The sequence below is a fragment of the Homo sapiens genome, chromosome 10, assembly GCF_000001405.40.
Source record: "Homo sapiens chromosome 10, GRCh38.p14 Primary Assembly".
In the NCBI taxonomy this organism is placed as follows: domain Eukaryota; kingdom Metazoa; phylum Chordata; class Mammalia; order Primates; family Hominidae; genus Homo; species Homo sapiens.
The window spans coordinates 34,985,829-35,008,221 of record NC_000010.11 but is presented as its reverse complement, the minus strand read 5'-3'; the positions used below and the strand labels follow the sequence as shown (position 1 = coordinate 35,008,221).

General features: G+C 44.5%; 1 long non-coding RNA gene across 1 annotated transcript; it reads left to right on the top strand.

The window, feature by feature from the left end:
* The first annotated feature begins 1,623 nt into the window (after nucleotides 1-1,623).
* LOC124902409 (uncharacterized) lies at nucleotides 1,624-14,610 on the top strand. The gene is made up of 2 exons (XR_007062110.1): nucleotides 1,624-3,182; nucleotides 13,860-14,610. It is a non-coding gene; the product is annotated as an uncharacterized LOC124902409 (long non-coding RNA).
* Nucleotides 14,611-22,393: the final 7,783 nt, after the last annotated feature.

Below are 22,393 nucleotides of genomic sequence, written 5' to 3'. Positions count from 1 at the left end.
CAGAAGCTGTAGCACACAGCCCAGAGCTCTGACCTGGCCGCCCTGCTGTGCAGTAACTAGTGCGAGTGGGCAAAACAGCTCAGAGCTATGAAAAGGAAAAAGGAGCAAGGAGAGGAGGATTTTCTATGCTTCACTGCAGAAAACACAAGTAAGCAAAACCCTCAGAAGTTTTTTAGAAGTCATTAATACTAAGGTAGTTTACGTATGTGAGTCAGTGATGCATTTTATAGCCAGCCAGCATGAGGCCTTGTCCACATGCCAGTCCTTTCCCTTTGAAAGCAAATATTTAATTGCTACTGAAGGTGCAGACTTATTTTAAGGTTTAGTCCAATATTTTATGACCATTTGCTTTAATATAAACAAGCACTCTGGGGGTTGTGTGTTTGTTTTGTTGTTTTAAGACAGGGTCTCGCTCTGTCACCCAGGCTGGAGTGCAGTGGTGCAATCACGGCGCACTGCAACCTCGACCTGCCAGGCTCAAGTGATCCTCCCACCTCAGCCTCCCAAGTAGCTGGGACCACAGGCACATGCCATCACACTCGGCTAATCTTTGTATTTTTTGTAGAGACGAGGTTTTGCCATGTTGCCCAGGCTGGTCTCAAACTCCTGAGCTCAAGCAATCCACCTGCCTCGGCCTCCCAAAGTGCTGGGATTAGAGGTGTGAGCCACTATGCTTTATTTTCTTTATAACTTACTATCTTTTTAGGATTTTGTAACCTATGTACGCTACCATGCTATCCCATGTCTGTTCACTTTTTTAAAAAACCTTTTTGAGTATAAATGATGACAGGTGCTTCCACCTATGTTATTTTGTTTAATCTTCAGGTAATCCTGTTTGATAGGCAATGCTTCTCTTTTTCATAGGTGAGGAAACTAAATGAGACTTTTCCAGGAGTTACTGTTGTAAACTGCAGAACCTGAATTTAAATGCCAGTCAAATCCATGGATGTTATAAGTATGGCCTCTCTGTATAGGTATATAGCCTCTAAAATAAGTAGAAATAACTTCATTTCATACATAAAGAATAGTTTTTCCTGACCTTTTAGAATAACAATTTGTTTCTAGTTAAATAATGTATGATAAACACATCATATTTTTCTTAAGATACTTAAGATGATGTAAACACGGTTAAGGAATTTGTCTTGGCACATAGCTGATTCATGACAAAGCGTATTTGTGAATTTAGTGTTTTACATTCACATGTACTATTACAGAACATTTATTTCACAGTGTATATATACTTAAAAGTTGTTATCAGTTAATTTTGTTGAGCTATGTACTAGAAAAGGATAATTATTCACCTCTTGATTTTTGGTTCCAAGAATAAATTCTTGGTCGAGCAAGGTCAAAGTCAAGATGCGAACTTTAAAAATACTAGTCCTTGGCTGGGCACGGTGGCTCACGCCTGTAATCCCAGCACTTTGGGAGGCTGAGGTGGGTGGATCACCTGAGGTCAGGAGTTCAAGACCTGCCTGACCAACATGGAGAAACCCTGTCTCTACTAAAAATACAAAAAATTAGCCAGCCATGGTGGCATGCGCCTGTAGTCCCAGCTACTTGGGAGGCTGAGGCAGGAGAATTGCTTGAACCCAGGAGGCATAGGTTGCAGTGAGCCAAGATCGAGCCATTGCACTCCAGCCTGGGCGACAAGAGCAAAACTCGGTCTCAAAAAAATAAATAAATAAAAATACTAGTCCTAAGGTCTGTTGCAGATGGGCGATAGCGAAATGAGTGGAAATTAATATGGAGAGACCCACTAGTAGAAGATTGCTGTGTTCTTGAAGCGTATCAAGGCCAAAGCAATTAAATTAGGCAATCCTTTGAAATATATGGCCCCATAGGCTAGAATTCATTAAAGGTAGGATTTACTGATGGGGAAGAATGATAATTTTCATAAGGAATGGCTGTGCTACCTATGAAATTGTAAGAGATTTTTTTTTCTTCCACTGGCCCCTATCCACAACCCAGGAAATTCCTCTTCGTTTTATCATCTAGCAAACAGGTACTGGTGCCAGGGCATTACGCTGGGTACAAGATATGCGGTGATGAGCAGAAAAGATGCTGTCTGTGCTCACATGGAGCTTCCGGTCTTTAACAATCAGTCAGAACTGTGTCATTCCAGATGTGGTAAGTGCTTGTGAAGGAAATCGTGACTACTCAGGAGGATTTCATAAGAGAGGTTAACGGGTGGAGAATGAAGGTGGGAGAGCACATTCTTAACGGAAGTGACAGCAAAGATCCTAAGATAAGAGGCAGCCAGAACTGGGAAATCGAAAAGACCAGTGTGGCTGAATTATGTGCATTGTAAGCAAAGAGTGATTTGGTTATATTTACATTTTTAAAAGATGATGGTAATGTTTTCACAACTTGGCTAGTCAGTGTGTGAATGTTCATTTTGTTAACATGCTTTATGGTGTGCATATTTATATATTATTTTGCTTTGGCGTTTGTGAACTATGTCATAATATTTGTAATTTTTTTTTTGAAAGAGTCTTGCTTTGTTGCCCAGGCTGGAGTGCAGTGGCACGATCTCAGCTCACTGCAGTCTTCGCCTCCCAGGTTCAGGTGACCCTCCTGCCTCAGCCCACCTAGTAGCTGGGATTACGGGCACGCATCACCATGCCCGGCTAATTTTCGTATTTTTAATAGAGACGGGGTTTCACCATGTTGGCCAGGCTGGTCTCGAACTCCTGACCTCAGGTGATCCACTCGCCTCAGCCTCCCAAAGTGCTGGGATTACAAGGTGTGAGACACCGCACCCAGCCAATATTTGTAAATTTTAAGGGAAAATGCATCGGAAGAAATTAGGCGGTAATTTTTTTGGAGACAGAGTCTCGCTCTGTTGCCCAGGATGGAGTGCAGTGGTGCCATCTCGGCTCACTGCAAACTCCGCCTCCCAGGTTCAAGCAATTCTCATGCCTCAGCCTCCCAAGTAGCTGGGATTACAGGTGCATGACCACGGTCGGCTAACTTTTGTATTTTTAGTAGAGTCGGGGTTTCATCATATTGACCAGGCGGGTCTCGAACTCCTGACCTCAAGCAATCTGCCTGCCTCAGCCTCCCAAAGTGCTGGGATTACAGGCGTGAGCCACCGTGCCCGGCTCAGGAGTGATCCTAATGACAGTGACTACTTCTAGAGGGATAAAGTGGATGAACCGGAGTGACTTATGGATTGTGACAGGGTGAGTGGGGGAACAGATGAGTCAATGATGGCAACCTAGATTTTTGGCTTTCACAACTAATGCCATTTAGTGAGTTAGGGGGATCCTAGAAGCCCGAAAGGAGAAGGAAGTTAGTAGGCTTGGTTTTAGACAGTGTGTACTTGATGTGCTTTTGAGATGTCCAAGTGCAGCAGGTGGTTGGTCGTAAAGGCTGAAAGTTCACTGTGCACATGTTCCCATCCTGATTCTTAGAAACCAATCTGTAGAAGCTGTTTGAACTATTCTCCTTTCTCTTACCCTAGCCCATGAGTCAACACTTTCCAGGTTCATCGTGACTAGAGAATACCAAACATTTACTACCACATGAATATGTTGCAGACATGTTAAGTCATAAAAGCAGGAATGAAGAGGAATGAGATTTTTCCTTTAGTTATTTATATATTAATACATTCTAGGATTTGCCTTCCTGTGTTTCAGTGAGTGGTCTTGTCACCCCCGCTTTGAGGTGAGGACACATTTACAGAAGCGGGGTCATTGTGCCCAAAGTGAACCTGCCAGAGTCTCACTCTGTCACCAGGCTGGAGTGCAGTGACGCGATCTCGGCTCACTGCAACCTCCACCTCCAGGTTCAGGTGATCCTCCTGCCTCAGCCTCTCGAGTAGCTGGGACTACAGGCATGTACCACCACGCCCAGATAATTTTTTTGTATTTTTCGTAGAGAGGCCAGGATGGTCTTGATCTCTTAACCTCGTGATCCACCTGCCTTGGCCTCCCAAAGTGCTAGGATTACAGGCGTGAGCCACTGTGCCCGGCCAGTTCTTTCTTATATTCATAAATCTTTGCCCACTACTGCTTTTGCACTGCACTCCTGGCAAGCTTAAAAGGAATCATCAGCAAAGGAAGAGATCTTTGGGAACTAACTTGTGGAAAAGAATTTGAATAACAAAGGGCGGTATTAGATGTTTTGTTATTGTTTTCTTTTTCTCCATTGTTAGTAACTTGCTATTTACAGTTCTAGTAATTGAAGAATTGTAGACTGTGTTGAAGTTTGCAGCCTCGGGTAAGGAATAAACTTAGTGGATTGCTGTTTTTATACTTGGATGGCCAGGCTGATATTTTCCTTGGAGGAACTTTGGTGTTGCAGAAAAAAGATGAAAATTTTCTGTGACTTTCATAAGCAGCCCTGTTCAGGTATCAACTAGCTTATGGGGCTGTCCCTAGCTCAGTACTCAGTCCTATGCAGAGAGCCTCAGCATTCTTAAGTGGATAGTTTTCAGGTTGTTTGTCTTCTAGGGGAAAAAACAGATATGATAAGCTCAGATCTACTTTTAGCAGAAACAAAGCTGGTCTAGTGGCCGGGCGCAGTGGCTCACACCTATAATCTCAGCACTTTAGGAGGCTGAGGTGGGCAGATCATTTGAGGTCAGGAGTTCGAGACCAGCCTGGCCAACGTGGTGAAACCCAGTCTCTACTAAAAATACAAAAATTAGCTGGGCGTGGCACACACTTGTAGTCCCAGCTAGTTGGGAGGCCGAGGCATGAGAATCACTTCAATCCAGTAGGCAGAGGCTGCAGTGAGCTGAGATCCTGCCACTGTGCTCCAGCCAGGATGACAGAGCCATCTTAAATCACGCACACACACACACACACACACACACACACACACACACACACACACACACAAAAGAACGCTGGTCTAGTTTTGGCCTGAGGAGGTCAGTGATGCGGGAGAAGTATGGTGATGTTAAAGGAAACTCGCCAAATGCAAATCAATGCAGTGCTACAAAGTAGATATCTGAGACACCTTGTTTAAATTGTACATTTTATTGTTTTTGTTTTTTGAAACGGAGTCTCACTCTGTCGTCCGGGCTGGGGTACAGTGGCGCAGTCTCAGCTCGCTACTGCCTCCACCTCCTGGGTTCAAGCAATTCTCTTGCCTCAGCCTCCAAGTAGCTGGGATTGCAGACGTGTGCTACCACGCCCAGCTAATTTTTTTTTTTTTTTAGATGAAGTTTCACTCTTGTTGCCCAGGCTGGAGTGCAATGGCGTGATCTTGGCTCACTGCAACCTCCACCTCCCAGATTCAAGCGATTCTCCTGCCTTAGCCTCCCGAGTAGCTGGGATTACAGGCATGCACCACCACGCCCGGCTAATTTTGTATTTTTAGTAGAGACAGGGTTTCTCCATGTTGGTCAAGCTGGTCTCGAACTCCCGACCTCAGGTGATCCACCTGCCTCAGCCTCCCAAAGTGTTGGGATTACAGGCTGAGCCACCACACCCGTCCTAGATTGTATATTTTAAAATAATCGTCTCTTAACTGTTGACAGCCAAGAAAGATGAGGACCTGCAGCCACTTGGTAAATTGGAAATACATCCTGTCAGCACTCAGGAAGGTGCATGTGCCTTCACTTGTAAATTACTTACTTGGCTTTGGTTTGGGCCGCCATCTCCACTGCTCCGTAAAGCAGGGAAGAGAGCTACTCAAATTAAGGAAGAGGCTTCCATAGCCAGCCACCACTACTTTTCTGAACTATTTCTGGCATTTGGCCTCCAAGTCTAAATGGAGTGAGCCACTTTGCATTTCTTGGGCGGTTGCACCCTTAGTGGGGGTCAACCTTAGCTCTCCAAAAGTCAGATCAGGCTCACTGCTGACGCAGTAATTAAAATCCAATCTAATTAGATCTGAAAGTTCTGACAGCAATTGGAAGTCCTTGCAGCAACCAATGTGGGATTCTTTAGGAAGCAGAGATGAAGGGAAGGGTCAGAAAGCCAGCTCATTTTGATCCCTGCTAGACCATCAAACCCACCAGGGACTATCTATAAAAGGGCAAGTATGTGGCCAACCGAGGAATCTCCTGGGATGCAGCAGAACACAGTATTATAGTGCTATGGTTTCCAAAAAATACACTTGAAAAATACAAGTGTAATGTGAAGTGCAATGTGAACTCAAAATTAGGGTATTTGCAGTGGGTGTGAATGTTCATTTTTATGAAAATCATCTAATACCCTGTGTATTCGAGTTTTCCAGAGAAACAGAACCCACAGGAGATATAAATATATATATATATACACACACACACATATGCATAAATAAATACACACACACATGCACACACACAGTTGTCTCTCAGTATACATGGGGGATTGCTTCCAGGACCCCTCACAGATACAAAAATCCACAGATGCTCAAGTCCCTTATACAAAATGATGTAGTATTTGCATAGAACCTATGCACATTTTTCTGTATGCTTTAAATCATCTCTAGATTACTTATAACCTCTAACACCAGGTAAAGGCTATGTAAGTAGTTGTTATACTGTGTCACTTAGGAAATTATAAGAAAAAAGTCTGTACATGTTCAGTATAGATGCAACTATTCTTTTCTTTCTTTTTTTCAAATGTTTTTTTATCTGTGGTTGGTTGAATCCATGAATGTGGAACCCATGAATACAGAGGGCTGACTGTATATGTAAAATGAAATTTATTTATTTTTATTTATTTATTTATTTTTGAGACGGAGTTTCACTCTTGTGGCCCAGACTGGAGTGCAGTGGCGCAATCTCAGCTCACTGCGGCCTCCACCTCCAGGGTTCAAGTGATTCTCCTGCCTCAGCCTCAGCCTCCAGAGTGGTTGGGTTTACAGGTATGCTCCACCACACCTGGCTAATTTTTTGTATTTCTAATAGAGATGAGGTTTCACCATGTTGGCCAGGCTGGTCTCGAACTCCTGACCTCAAGTGATCCGCCCACCTTGGCCTCCCAAAGTGAAGGGATTATAGGCGTGAGCCACCGTGCCCAGCCCAAAATGAGATTTATTATAAGGAATTGATTCACAAGATATTGGTGGTTGACCAATCCCACAATCTGCTGTCTGCTAGCTAGAGACCCAGGAAAACCAATGGCATGAATTCCAGTCTAAGTCTGAAGGCCTGAGAAGGAGGAGTGCTAATGGCATAACTCACATTCCACGATAAGGAGGCTGATGTCTCAGCTCAAGCACTCAAGTAAAGAGACAGAATTCAACCTTCTTTCACCTTTTTCTTCTACTTGGGCCCTCAAAGGGTTGAATTATGCCTACCCATATTGGAGAGGACAATCTACTTTACTCAGTCCACTGATTCAAATGCTAATCTTTTCCAGAACCTCCTCACAGACACACGCAGAAATAATGTTTAAGCAGATATCTAGGCATCCTGAGGGCTGGCCAGTAAAGTTGACATGTAAAATTAGCCATCACAAGTCCACCTCTTGTCAACTTCGCACCCACATGCCTCCCTGTAAAACATATTTAATCTCCAAATGAAAACAGTAACAGGCTGGACATAGTGGCTCATGCCTGTAATCCCAGCACTTTGGGAGGCCAAGGAGGGCGGATCATTTGAGGTCAGGAGTTTGAGACCAGCTTGACCAACATGGTGACACCCTGTCTCTACTAAAAATACAAAAAATTAGCCAGGTGTGGTGGCACACGCCTGTAATCCCAGCTACTCAGGAGGCTGAGGCAGGAGAATTGCTTGAACTCGGGAGGTGGAGGTTGCAATGAACCGAGATCATGCCACTGTACTCCAGCCTGGGTGACAGAGTGAGACTCCTCAAAACAAACAAACAAAAAAGTCAATAACAAGGTCATAGATCCACCTAACATGATACAACTAACTATCCTATATGCAACTGAAAATGCACCAATCCCTTCCCCAAAAGAGGAGGTAAAATCCTTCAGTGATGTTTATTCTTCTTTTGATAGTCCATAACTTAAATACTGTGGTGTAAAATTAATAAATACTATGATATAAAGTCCGTATATCTTATGTTATATGATAAGGGAATAAGAGATGAAAAATAGAAACACAAACATTCATAACAAGATGAGGAGGAAATAGGATAATTACAGTCCTTGTTTTTATAACTGGTCACATGACCATAGCTGATATTTGTAACCACCTTGTTTCTACTACCCACTATATATTCCCTTTGCAGCTGGTTGTAGCTCTTCATCTGGTGAGGTGACCCAAACCTTTATTTCTGAAGAGTCTAGGCCATTAATAGTCCTGCCTGAATTGGGTTGTTGTAGTTTTCCATTGACCCTAATCATAGGTGGTACCAAGGGATCTTAAGGGATCTCCTGTATTCCAGATATACTCTTCCTGATCATCACTCTGGAGTAGTTGTCCAATTTCCTCCTGGTATTCAGGATCGGTCACCCCAGCCATCACAGGAACTCCCTTCTTTGCCTGTTGATTCAGAGCCATGAGGAGCTCAAAGTGGCTGGGGACACTCTTAACTTCCAGTTCAATGAAATCATTGCTGTGTTTCCTGGTTGAAGCATTCCTCCCTCTGGAACTAAGACCTCTAGGTCACCAGAGCATAAGGTCACGGGGCCAGGAAGCAAGATTTTGCTAATGGGTTACCAGGGATAATAGTGAACAGTGACGCTCTCACTTTCACCCCTTGATTCCTGGACCTGCGAGTCCTGCCTGCGTGGAAAGGCTGATACCACTGTGAAGAGAGAGGTTGATACCAATAGGGGTGTAGAGACCTCTTCCACTGGCAAAAAGACTCATCAGAATTTAGGGGCTCAGTGTCCCCTGCTTTGTCAGGATCTTGACACACATCCCCACCTCAACTGACAAGGTGCCATTCTTTCTCAATCAATGCTCTCAATTTAATAGTGGGCACTCTGCAAGGCCAGGAGTACAACTTGCAATGATATTCAGCCAGACACAGGGTGAAATTCTGTGTTTGATTTTCAGCAATCTCAGCCCTGCAGCTATAGGGAATAAGGGTGAGAAGGCACCCTTATCTATGAAGCAGAGCAAGTGAGCCCTCACCAGACACAGAATTGGCTGCTGCCTTGATCTTAGACTTCCCAGCCTCTAGAACTGTAAGAAATAAATTTCTGTTGTTTATAAATTATGCAACCTAAGGTATTTTGTTATAGTAATCTGAGCTAGTCAAGACAATCTTCCTCCAGCCTTGCCCATCTCGGTTGATGGCAACTCCTTCCTTCCAGTTTCTCAGGCCAAAACCCTTGGAGTTTTTCTTTACTCAGGTCTTTTTCTTTTTTTGGACGGAGTCTCTCTCTGTCACCCAGGCTGGAGTGCAAGGCATCTTCGGGTTCAACTGTTATCCTGCCTGAGCTTCCCAAGTAGCTGGGACTATAGGCACACGCCACTGCACCCGGCTAATTTTTGTATTTTTAGTAGAGATGGGGTTTCACCATGTTGGCCAGACTGGTCTGGAGCTCCTGACCTCAGATGATCCGCCTGCCGTGGCCTCCCAAAGTGCTGGGATTACAGGCGTGAGCCACTGCGCCCGGCCCTTTACTCATGTCTTTCACAATCTACATGTAATTCATCTTGAAGTCCTGTTGGCTCTACTTTCATTTTCTTATTTTTTCAAGAGGCTATGTTGCCCAGGCTGGTCTCGGCCTCCCAGACTCAAGCGATCCTCTCAGCTTGGCCTCCCCAGAGTGCTGGGATTACTGGCATGAGCCATCATGCCTGGCCAGCTCTCCTTTCAGAACATATTCAGCACCTGGCAGACAGGTCCCGCCAGAGACAATGATGGTAGGCCAGCAGAATAGCAGATGTGTGTAAAGCAGTAGGCTGCCAGATCAGTATATCAGGATGACTAGAGGCAAGAGATGTTCAGCAGGGTGGACAAGCAGAAGGTGCCATCAGGAAGGAAGTCCATGGTTACCAGAGCCCCAGCTACTGAGCCCGGAATGGGCAAGCCAGGCCCAGGGCTGGAGGAACTGAGGCACCAGGCAGGTTTCCATGACAGAGATCCAAGTGGAGGAAGCAAGGCAGATGTCTAGTTCACCCAACTGGGGCCTGAAGGTCTCCAAAGCAGGAGGAAATTCATGCATCATCGATGGGTACTAAACAAGCCTGAATGAGCAGGGCTGGGCTATGGGCCTCTTACCCCAAAGCAGGGAATGGACCCAGAGACTAGAATGGAGCAATGCCTGCAAGGGAGGTCAGCAGGTCCCAGCCTGGGGAGACTGGGAAGCTGAGCTGGCAGTCAAGCTGACTTGCCACCATTCAAACAAGAAATGCCACAGGATCCTGCTTCTGAAGCATTCGGCTCCCAAACAAAAAGCATGGAAGACAGTTGGATGACTCTAGTGAGGACCTACAGATGGTACTTCCTGGGTCTTGTGTCTCCTGGGCTCCAGGAGGATGGAGGTTGACTTGAGTCTTAAAGGTTTAACCTTTCGCACACCGAAAAACCTGCTTCCCAGCAGCCTGACAGCAAGTTCTCTGACCTCTGTAGGAACTTTTCTGGTATTTAAGTCATTATCACCTCCCAAACTTGCCTCTTCAGTGGACTCTGCGTTGTGGTCCCTCCCTCTGTCTTTCCTGGTCTTCCCCAGCTCCGCACGTTGCACTCCATTCCCCAGACCCATGTGTTCTGCCACACCTCTCACCAGCCCCTAGGTACTTTAACACAGGAATATCTGTTGTTGCTACATATCCCTATGTCAAACTTTTTTCTTTTTCTTTTCTTTTTTCTTTTTTTTGAGACAGTCTCACTCTGTCGCCCAGGATGGAGGGCAGTGGTGCGATCTCAGCTCACTGTAATCTCCACCTCCCAGGTTCAAGCGATTCTCCTGCCTCAGCCTCCTGAATAGCTAGGGCTGCAGGTGTGTGCCACCACACCTGGCTAATTTTTGTACTTTTAGTAGAGATGGAGTTTCACCATGTTGGCCAGGCTGGTCTTGAACTCCTGACCTCAGGTGATCTGCCTTCCTTGGCCTGCCAAAGGGCTGGGATTACAGGTGTGAGCCACGGCGCCTGGCCTCAAAAATGTGTTTTCTAATACTATTTTGACAAAAATCTTTCAGTGTTGTTGGTTTCCTTTATAATCCTGGGTATTTTATTTCAAGCATTGAAAAACGTTACTGTGAGAAGTTCAGAGATTCCAGAATGCCACGTGCTCTGCCACAGCTCTCACAGCAGGACACCACAGGCCTCGTGCATCCTGGGCCGTGTGAAGCAACCTCAAGCCACAGTGTTCCTCATGCTTCTCCTTCTTGCCTAATCCTCCTGTTTTATTGGCTGAGTCGACCAGCTGGGCTTTAACCAAGAGTCTACTCCCTCAGTTCCTTTTTCTTTCTTCTTTTTTTACAGACAAGGTCTCGCTCTGTCTCCCAGGCTGGAGTACAGTGGTACCATCATAGCTCACTGCAGCCTCAGGCTCCTGGGCTCAAACAATCCTCCCACCTCAGCCTCCCGAGTAGCTGGGACTACAGGCACACACCACTAGGCCCTGGCTAATTTTTTTATAGAGATGGGGTCTCCTCATGTTGCCCAGGCAGGTCTCGAACTCCTGGTCTCAAGAGATCCTCATGCCTCAGCTTCCTAACATGCTGGGATTATAAGTATTAAATCAAATTTAGCCTAAAGCTACCTCCTTACATATTTTAAGTTCTACCTAAAGGTTTCTCTGTACATTGTGGACTATAAGCTAAAGGAAATTGTAAACAGACTGTAGCCTACTCTTGTGCCAATCACCAAGTTTTGGCCAATCAAATGTGGTCAACTGTTCCAACCATATTCTAATAAGGCAAATGCCAAGCTATAACCAATCCAGCTGTTTTTGCACCTCTCTTCCATTTTCTGTATGTCACCTTCCTTTTTCTGCCCTTAAATCTTCTACCACGTGGCTGCGCTGGAGTCTCTGAGCCTACTCTGGCTCAGGAGATGGCCCAATTTGCCAGTCATTCTTTGCTCAATTAAACACCTTTAAATTTAATTTGACTAAAGTCAAATTTTAATTTTTTTTTTTTAACCACAGGTTTGAGCCACTGAACCTAGCCCCTTAGTTTCTGTTCAGTGACCTAGCTTCCTGCCAATACTGGGGGCCTTGTCCTGGTGATGGAATGCTGGTACCATGCATTCTCTTTTTTGCCTTCTGCCCTCCACATTCCCCACCACCAGCTGTGACGGTCCTTTGAGGAACGATCTTTGGAAAGCTTCCTAGCATCCCTTGCCCTGCCTGCTGGAGTGGAGTGCCTGGTCCCAGTGATTGCCCCAAATGGTGCTGAGTTTATTACATCCTCTGACACTAGGCTTTGAGCTGCCTAGAAGCCCTGGCTAGAATCAGACTCTATCTGCATTGTTTGTTTGTTTGTTTGTTTCCATTCTCTGGTTCTACTACTTCTCCACAGACCTTTTCCCTACCTAGTTCTCCTCATGCCTCATGCCCAGGACCACCCTTTGGTTCTAGTCTAGTTCTCGAGCAGCAGGAAAGACATGTAATTCCCCTGCTATATGGTAATTATTCATAATTTTTTCCCTGCAAGCCCAACATTCCTCCTTTGTGATAGTTTCTAACTCATTTTCTGCAGCAGTGCATACACTTCTGCTCCCTGAAGTCCTGCTGGAAGGACCACTTGTTAGAACCAGACAAATTGTTCACATGCTTACTGCTTAAGAGGCTCATGACTTGTCCCTAATGACTAGAAGCAAAGGAAGAAGCTGTTTTAAGGGGAGAGTCTGCTTTTGAATCCAGCCCCCACTTATGTTTTGGCTTAAATGAAATAGCTTCTTTCTTAATGCACATCAGAAATACCCAGGAAACCACCTCAGTTCTCTGGGTTAGAGTATAAATGTTCTAGGTGTTTCCTCTCTGAGCCAAATAAAAGGAATCCCCAGAATTCCTAGAGGAATTTGATATGTAAGAGTTAACACATGCTACCCTGCTTTTTCCAGATGAAAGAGGACGGAGGGCATCTTCCTCCCTGACACCAGGCTGGAATCGCTTGGGCGATTAGCAAGCAGGTTGCCAGCATCTATGCCACTGTGAATCAAAGGGTCTGGAAAAATCTGGACCAAGACACTTTCCGAGCACCACCCTTACCTCAGTGTCCAAGATTTCTCTATTCAAGATTCGCATGGGCTTAAGGTGTCAGAGTTCCTGGTCATTGTGCAAACTGGTTTTCTGGAAGGGCTCTCGTTTCTGAATGCCTCTGCTTTTTCCCCCAGAAGATGCAAGTCACCTTTCTGTCACCCTCAAGGGGCCAGGTCCCAAGTCCTGAGCTCCAGTTGGGAGGAGATAGTTTGAGGAGCTCTGAAAGAGGAAGGGTCAGCCTGGGAGACTGGGCAGAGGCCCTTAGTGTGGGGAAAAGGCGGGAGCGCTGGGAGGCAGCAGCATTTGGAATACAGACAGATTCCCCCGCCTGTGGCAATCTCTGTCTCCCTCTGGTGGTTTAAGCTCTCAAAATTACAGGTGTTCTTTGTAAGTGACTCATACATTCCAGTACCGGGGTGAGTTTTTACTCTTTTGGCTCATGTCATTTCCTCCCAGCAGCTAGGGTCTCTGCATTTTGTCCTGTTGTCATGGCAACTGGTACTCTGCAAGCTTTGGGAGCTGAAGCTGTAGAGCTGGCTCGTTAGGGAGGCTGCCCTCTCTCTCCAGCTCAATGGGGAACTGTAGACATTTGGAAGATGAATCATTCTAGTCCATTGAATAGCTTGCCAAGGTGACCCCGAGCAAGCTCCTTCCATCTCTTAACGAACAAAAACTATAGTGTTGTGAAGATTGTATGAGATAACTTATCTGAAGTTCCTAGCGCCATGCCTGACATACTATTTTAAGTGTTTGATAAATAATATTTGCCTTCCCATTGATTCAGACTCTACAGGCAGCAATAAAAAATTACTGCTCTAAATATTTCTCATTTTCTCTCTGCAGCCTTTCATGGAAGTTGCCATGGTTCTGCATCCCTAAACCAATGAGACACAATGGCAAGTTTCTCTTCCTACATCTATTTCAACCACCAGCTTAACTCCCCTTCCTGAGTGCAGCTAAAGCTGTGGCCATCAGGCAGGTGAAGCTTGGTGCCTCCTGTTCAACCAACAGGAATGACTGAAGCAGGCTGGGGGTGGGACCAGCAGTAAGAAGCCCAGAGCAATGACCAGAGCTCCCTTTCTCTGGAGAGCTGGGCTGGAGAAAATCTATGCACTGCTGATCTCCTAAGGAGAGAGCTTCAAGGGTGAAAAGATGGTGTCCCACAGGCCTGAGGCTGCACAGATCTAGCTTTTGCCATTGAGGACAGCAGGGACAGTAAAGCTTCCCAGATCCCCTTTCAACCTGCCAGCTGGCATGTCACCTACCATAGAGGAAGCCAATCCTAGACCTTGTACTACTTGAGAGATTGCAAAAGTATCCTGTTAGCTGGGTCTGGACCCCAATGATAAATAGACTCATGAGTGAGCTAAGGAAGGGAACTGGCCCATCTAAAAGGAACCGGCCCAAGGAAAAGCAGGAATCTATGAAGGCATTCAATAACTTGGACCAAAAAGGAACAAGAAGGTAAAATTGAATACTTGGGTGATGGTTACACTAAAAACCTAGATTTCCCCACTACAAGATATATCCATGTAACAAAACTGCACTTGTACCCCTTAAATTTATATACTTAAATAAAATAAAATAGAAGAGATTCTTTTTTTTTTTTTTTTTTTTTGAGATGGAATCTCACTCTGTTGCCCAGGCCTGGAGTGCAGTGGTGCGATCTTGGCTCACTGCAACCTCCTCCTCCCGGGTTCAAGCAATTCTCCCACCTCAGCCTCCCTAGTAGCCGAGACTACAGGCACTTGCCATCACGCCCAGCTAATTTTTGTATTTTTAGTAGAGATGATTTCACCATGTTGGCCAGGCTGGTCTCGAACTCCTGACCTCAAGTGATCCACCTCCCTCAGCCTCCCAAAGTGCTGGGATTACAGTTGTGAGCCACTGTGCCCAGCCAAAATAGAAGAGATTCTATTACAGCATAAAATACTTTGTGGAAATAAGAAACAAGGCCCGGCTCGGTAGGTCATGCCTGTAATCCCAGCACTTTGGGAGGCCCAGGTGGGCAGATCATGAGGTGAGGAGATCGAGACCATCCTGGCCAACATGGTGAAACCCCATTTCTACTAAAAGTACAAAAAATTAGCCGGGCGTGGTGGCACGTGCCTGTAGTCCCAGCTACTCAGGAGGCTGAGGCGGGAGAATCACTTGAACCCAGGAGGCGGAGGTTGCAGTGAGCCGAGATCGTGCCACTGCACTCCAGCCTGGGCGACAGAGCGAGACTGTCTCAAAAAAAAGAAAAAGAAAAAGAAATAAGAAACACGAGTTTTTCATTTTAAATTTCAGTTGATGACTGAAGAAGAGGATAGTTGCAGGCTAAATTAGTGGCCCAGGAGATTCAGTGAGAGAAAAATCTCAAAACATAAAACAAAATTACAAGCAGATGGAAATATTGAAGAAACTGACAAAGTATTTGAAGTCTGGATTCAGACAATCTTACATGTAAACAATAAAATGCCTAGAAAGGTTTTTTAAAAAGAAAAGTAGAAGAGAAGCTGTAATTAAACCAAACCAATAATAATAATAATAAATCATACGTACTAAAAAGAAATTGAGTATTCGAAGTGAAAGAATTCACCAAATTCCAATCTGGATTAATAAAACACTTAAGGAATATCCTGGTGAGCTGGGCGCGGTGGCTCATGCCTGTAATCCCAGCACTTTGGCCAGGCTAGTCTTGAACTCCTGACCTAAAGTGATCTGCCTGCCTCAGCCTCCCTCAGTGCTGGGATTACAGGCGTGAGCTACTGCGCTCAGCCTATATAACTGTTAAGGTAAAAGAAATATATTCAAAATTACACAAGATTTAGAAAATAAATCCTATACCTACTTCTGTTTGATGAAAATATTCCAGAAGAACTCTAATCAAATGATAAGTAATCAGAAAGAAGACCACAAGATTGCCGTGATGAGTAATGAGTGTGTGTGTGTGTGTGTGTGTGTGTGTGTGTGTGTGTGTGTGTTGCAATACTGGGTAAGGGAGCAGAAGGATAGTTACAGCATTCTTAAGATATTATCTTACAGGCCAAGTAATGGAGTGTCTTGGTGAACAGAAATATTTCATACTGTGCTTTTTTCTTTTCACAGGTAATGGTAGAGAAATATTTGTTTATGTGTATCCAGTATAGAATGGAATCATTACTGATATGGAAAATTACATAAGAACTTTGCATTTTTCAGGTCTGTTAAGGAATGACAGAATGACACACCCATTCCTTGCTCCATCCCCACTTCCAATTTCCACATCCATACACTGGAAATTCTTGATTTCTTTAGCCAAGGACACAGCTTAATAAATTAAAGATATCATGCAGGACTAAAAAATATGTGTTTTTTGGTGCTGATAGAATCTTGCCTGATTTGAGAGGTTTAATTCTAGGGTGTTTAACAGACCTTTATTTTTTAGAACTTGCATTCTGTTCAGGAAAAATTTATATAAATGACCTTAATACTTCCATGTAATGAATGGATACAAACATGAGGAGCTGCTTGTTTGTGTGTGTGTGTGTGTGTTTGTATGTGTGTGTGTATATGTGTGTGACAATCTGTCTTTTTATTGGAGTATTTATGACATTAATGTTTAATAAAAGTATTAATCTATTTAGGTTTAAATGTACCATCTAACTAGTTATGAGGGTCTTTAAATTTTAATTTGTTTTTATTTCATTTTTTTTTAGAGACAGGGTCTCCCTCTGTCACCCAGGCTGGAGTGCAGTGGCATGATCATAGTTCACTGCAGCCTCAAACTCCTGGGCTCAAACAGTCCTCCTGCCTGAACCTCTGAGTAGCTGGGACCACAGGCATGTGCCACCATACTTGGCCAATTATAAAATTTTTTGTAAAGATGGGGTCTTGCTATGTTGCCCAGGCTGGTTTTCAACTCCTGGCCTCAAGTATTTTTTCTGCCTGGGCTTCCTAAAGCCCTGGGATTATAGGCCAGGTTCGGTAGCTCATACCTGTAATCCCAGCACTTTGGGAGGCTGAGACAGGCAGATCACCTGAGGTCAGGAGTTCAAGACCAGCCTGGCCAACATGGTGAAACCCTGTCACCCTGTCTCTACTAAAAATACAAAATTAGCAGGGTGTAGTAGCACTTGCCTGTAATCCCAGCTACTCGGGAGGCTGAGGCAGGAGAATTACTTGAACCCAGGAGGCAGAAGTTGCAGTGAGCCAAGATCCCACCATTGGACTCCAGCCTGGGCGACAAGAGGAAAACTCTGTCTCGAAAATAAATAAATAAATAAATAAATAAACAAATAAATCAACCAACCAACCAACCAACCAACCAACCAACCAACCAACCAAAGCACTGGGATTACAGACAGGAGCCATAGAACCTGACCTAATCTTATTTTATTTAATTTTTAATTTTTTTTTTTTTTTTTTGAGATGGAGTTTTGCTCTGTTGCCCAGGCTGAAGTGCAGTGGCACGATTTTGGCTCACTGCAACCTCCGCCTCCCGGGTTCAAGTGATTCTCCTGCCTTAGCCTCCTGAGTAGCTGGGACTACAGGTGCCCGCCTCCATGCCCGACTAATTTTTGTATTTTAGTAGAGACGGGGTTTCACCGTGTTAGCCAGGAGGGTCTTGATCTCCTGACCTCGTGATCTGCCCACCTCAGCCTCCCAAAGTGCTGGGATTACAGGTGTGAGCCACCATGCTGGGCCCCTAATTTTAATTTTAATTGACAAGTAATAATTGTATGTATTCGTGGAGTACAATGTGATTTGATACATGTTGATGATGTGGACTGATTAAATCAAGCTAATGAACATATCTATCACCTCACATACTGTCATTCCTTTGTGGTGAGAACGTTTTTTTTTCTGAGACAGATCTCGCTCTCCGCCCAGGCTGGAGTGCAGTGGCGCTATGTAGACTCACTGCAACCTCTGCCTCCCAGGTTCAAGCGATCCTTCCACCTCAGCTTCCCGAGTAGCTGGGATTACAGGCATGTGCCACCACACCCGGCTAATTTTTGTATTTTTAGTAGAGACAGGGTTTCATTATATTACCCAGGCTGGTCTTGAACTCCTGACCTCAAGTGATCTGCCTGCCTTGGCCTCCCAAAGTGCTGGGATTACAGGCATGAGCCACCATGCCCAGATCTTTGTGGTGAGAACATTTAAAATCTAATTTTGGGGGTCTGCATTTCTTGAGTCAATTTTAGAGCCAGGAAGGCCACATCTTTGGAGTGAGAGCGGGAGTCAGGGTCAGTTCCTCAGCATCACTAAGTGGTCCCTCACCATCCATCTTTCCAGCTGGAAAGCAACTTGCTGGCCACTCACCAAAATAACAAGTAGGAAAGGTAAAATAAAGGAGGATGTGATCACATCAGCAAAAAAACAAAAAAACAAAAAACAACATTAAAGAGAGGAAATGCCAGTGTAAAATAAATGAAATAAATAGTAAAGAAGTAATACTGTTGCTGGTGAATAGAATGCATTGTCGCATATTATATGTGGATCTTCTGTTTATCATCTTGCTAAACTCTCTCCTTTATATATTCAGTCTTCTAGGAGAGGATTCATACAATCACAAAATAATTACAGTTTTATTTCCTCCCTTTCAGGCCTTTGACTTGAATTTGTTTTCCTTGTATTGGCCGAAATATATGGAATAGACATGGTGATCTTGGTCTTCTTCCTGATTTTAAAGGATACTAATTATTTTAATGGAATTTATATGGGCCTCATGAAATGAGTTGGGAAGTAATCTTTTTTTCTCTACTCTCTAGGAAAATCTATAAAATTAGAATGACATTTTTCAAAAAAGTTGACTTGCCTGTGAAACTAACTGGGCTTGGTGTTTTCTTTGTAGGAAAGGAGCCCATTTCTGACATTCATCATACTGTTTAGCAAGCCACTAATTTTACAAATGAAACCGATTTATGACATTCATTTTGCTGCTAAAACCCCACTCCTATTGATCAACGTATGTACAGTGAAGCCTTTGTGGTAGCTGACTCTGCTGTGCAGCCTTAAGGTGAAATGTTAGCTGACCACTCTTGAAGAGCAAGTTCCTGATTAAAGACATTGACTTCCCTGAAGTGTATCTTAAATGAACATACACACACACACATATGCAGGCATGCCTACATACATCACATTATCCTTGCCAAAGTATCTTAAAGAAAGTTACAGTATTTTAAAGTAAATTGATCTCCATGCATTGATTTTTTAAAACCTATTTTTGGGATCCTGGGCTGACTTCTTTTTGACACCAAATTAACGTCAAATCATTTGCTTCCTGACTTGTTGAAACATGAATACCTGGAAAGAAAAGCTCTCTGTGAAGCAGAGATTAGCTCTATGAGAAAGCAGAAGAAAAGCATCTACGGCAAGCCTGAGCAGGCTCTGTAGGTTCAATCCTTAAGATTCAGTCCTTGAAAAACAGATTGAACTCTTGCTCCCAAAGATAAGATCACCTTTTTGGAGGAAATGTCAAAATTTAAGAAATCAGAATAAATCCTTTCTTAACCATTCCTTCATTCACATAGCAGTTATTGGATGTCTCCTAGGTGCAAGGCACCATGATAGACACCACGGATACAAAGAGTTACTTGCCCTCAAGTAACTCGCTGTCTAGATAGGATTAAATAGAGAATTAGCCAGGTGTGGTGGCTCATGCCTGTAATCCCAGCACTTTGCGAGGCTGAGGTGGGTGGATCACTTGAGGCCAGGAGTTGGAGACCAGCCTGGCCAACATTGTAAAACCCTGTTTCTACTAAAATACAAAAATTCGCTGGGCATGGTGGTACGTGCCTGTAATCCCAGCTACTCAGGAGGCTGAGGCAGGAGAATCGCTTGAGCTGGGACCCGGGAGATGGAGGTTTCAGTGAGCCGAGATCACGCCACTACACTCCAGCCTGGGCTACAGAGCAAAGCTCTGTCTCAAAAAAAAACAAACAAACAAACAAAAAAAAACTGTAATGACCAACACAAAATCAGATCCAATTTACTGCTTGAGGAAACAAGACCAAATAATGAGAATCAGTATCAGCAGACAGTAGGGACAGACTCACAGCTACTCCTGATAGTGCAACTACTAGTTACAAACTGTAAACTCACTATGCCTATTATGTCATGGAGCTGGAAACCAACATTTTCAGGAAGGAACTATAACTATAAAAAGTTACACTGGGCTGGGCACAGTGGCTCAGGCCTATAATCCCAGCAATTTTGGAGGCTAAAACAGGAGAATCACTTCAACCCAGGTGTTCAAGGCCAGCCTCAGCAACATAGTGAGACTCTGTCTCTGCAGAAATTGTTTTTTTTTTTTTTTTTTTTTTTTTTTTTTTGAGACAGAGTCTCATCATTCAGGCTGGAATGCAATGGCGTGATCTTGGCTCACTGCAACCTTCACCTTCCAGGTTCAATCAATTCTTGTGTCTCAGTACCCCAAGTAGCTGGGATTACAGGGTCACACCACCATGCCTGGCTAATTTTTGTATTTTTAGTAGTGATGGGGTTTCACCATGTCGACCAGACTGGTCTCGAACTCCTGACCTTAAGTAATCTGCCCGCCTCGGCCTCCCAAAGTGCTCGGATTACAGGCACGAGCCACCACGCCAGGTCAAAAAATGTTTTTAAAATTAGCTGAGCATAGTGACTCACTCCTGTTATCCCAGCATTTTGAGAGGCTAAGGTGGGAGGCTCACTTGAACCCAGAAATTTGAGGCTGCAGTGAGCTATAACTGCACTCCAGCCTGGGGGACAGAGTGAGACCCTGTTTCAGGGGGAAGAAAAAAGTGACATTGCATATTTGAAAAAAAATATTATATCTGCCTAGGTCCAAATACAAGAGAGAAAACACATTGTAATTTAAACAGGGATACTTAATATAAATAATTATTGGCCAGGCACGGTGGCTCACACCTGTAATTCCAGCACTTTGGAAGGCCAATGCAGGAGGAGCGCTTGAGCTGAGGAGTTTGTGACCACCCTGAGAAACATGGCAACTCCTCATCTCCACAAAAAAATACAAAAATTAGCCAGGTCAGGTGATGTATGGCTGTCATCCCAGCTACTCAGGAGGCTGAGGTGAGTGGATTGATTGAGCCCGGTCAAGGCTGTAGTGAGCCATGATCATACCACTGCACTCAAGCCTGGGTGACAGAGAGAGACCTTGTCTAAAGAAAAAAAAAATTACTATAACAAAGGATTAGAAAAGGATTAGAGCTGGGTGCAGTGGCTCACGTCTGTAATCCCAGCACTTTGGGAGGCTGAGGTGGGTGGATCACCTGAGGTCAGGAGTTCAAGACCAGCCTGGCTAGCCTGGCCAACGTGGTGAAACCCCGTCTTTACTAAAAATACAAAAAATTAGCAGGGCGTGGTGGTGGGCACCTGTAATCCCAGCTACTCGGGAGTCTGAGGCAGGAGAATTGTTTGAACCCAGGAGGTGGAGGTTGCAGTGAGCCGAGATTGTGCCACTGCACTGCAGCCTAGATAACAAGATCGAAACTCCATCTCCAAAAAAAAAACAACAACAAAAAAACCAAATCATTAGAGTAGCAAGGGATTGACTAGTATGAAGTAAATGCCTCTAAAAAAAATATAGAGCTGGCAGATTTGAAGAGCAGTCGCTAACTCCAGGGCTGAGATTGAGCACCTTAGCCCACGCCCAGGGCTCAGATTCTGACCCTGTTGAGAGGCCATGGACAGCTCTGGCTCACTGGAAGGCAGAGAAGTTGCTGAGCTGCTGCACTGGTGGAACTGCTGGAAATCTGCCTGATATGATTTGGCTGTGTCCCCACCCAAATCTCATCTTGAATTCCCACATGTTGTGGGAGGGACCCAGTGGGAGGTAATGGAATCATGGAGGCAGGTCTTTTCCCATGGTGTTCTTGTGACAGTGAATAAGTCTTACGAGATATGATGGTTTTAAAAAGAGGAGTTCCCCTGCATAAGCCCTCTTCTATTGTCTGCCGCCACGTGAGACGTGCCTTTTGCCTTCTGCCGTTATTGTAAGGCCTCCCCAGCCACATGGAACTGTAAGTCCATTAAATCTCTTTCTTTTGTAAATTGCCCGGTCTCAAGTATGTCTTTATCAGCAGTGTGAAAACAGACTAATACACTGCCCTTTAGGGTGCTGGGGAAAGCTGTCCACAGGAAAGGACATCACTAGAGATGAGATGCTCTACTACAAAAGTGCCAGGGGAGGGAGTACTGGGTCCATTGCTGGAGCTGGGTGCTGAGGAAGCTGCACTCACTGCAGAAGCCTGCACGAGAAAAGCTATGCACTCTGCAAGAGCCTGCCCAGCCCTGTACACTGGGACCTTCACCTGCAGTGTCTGTCCATCATTCTGTACTTAGAAAGCCTTGGTGTCTGCTAGCATGGGAAAAAAATACTTAAAGGACAAGATCCACTTTCACAG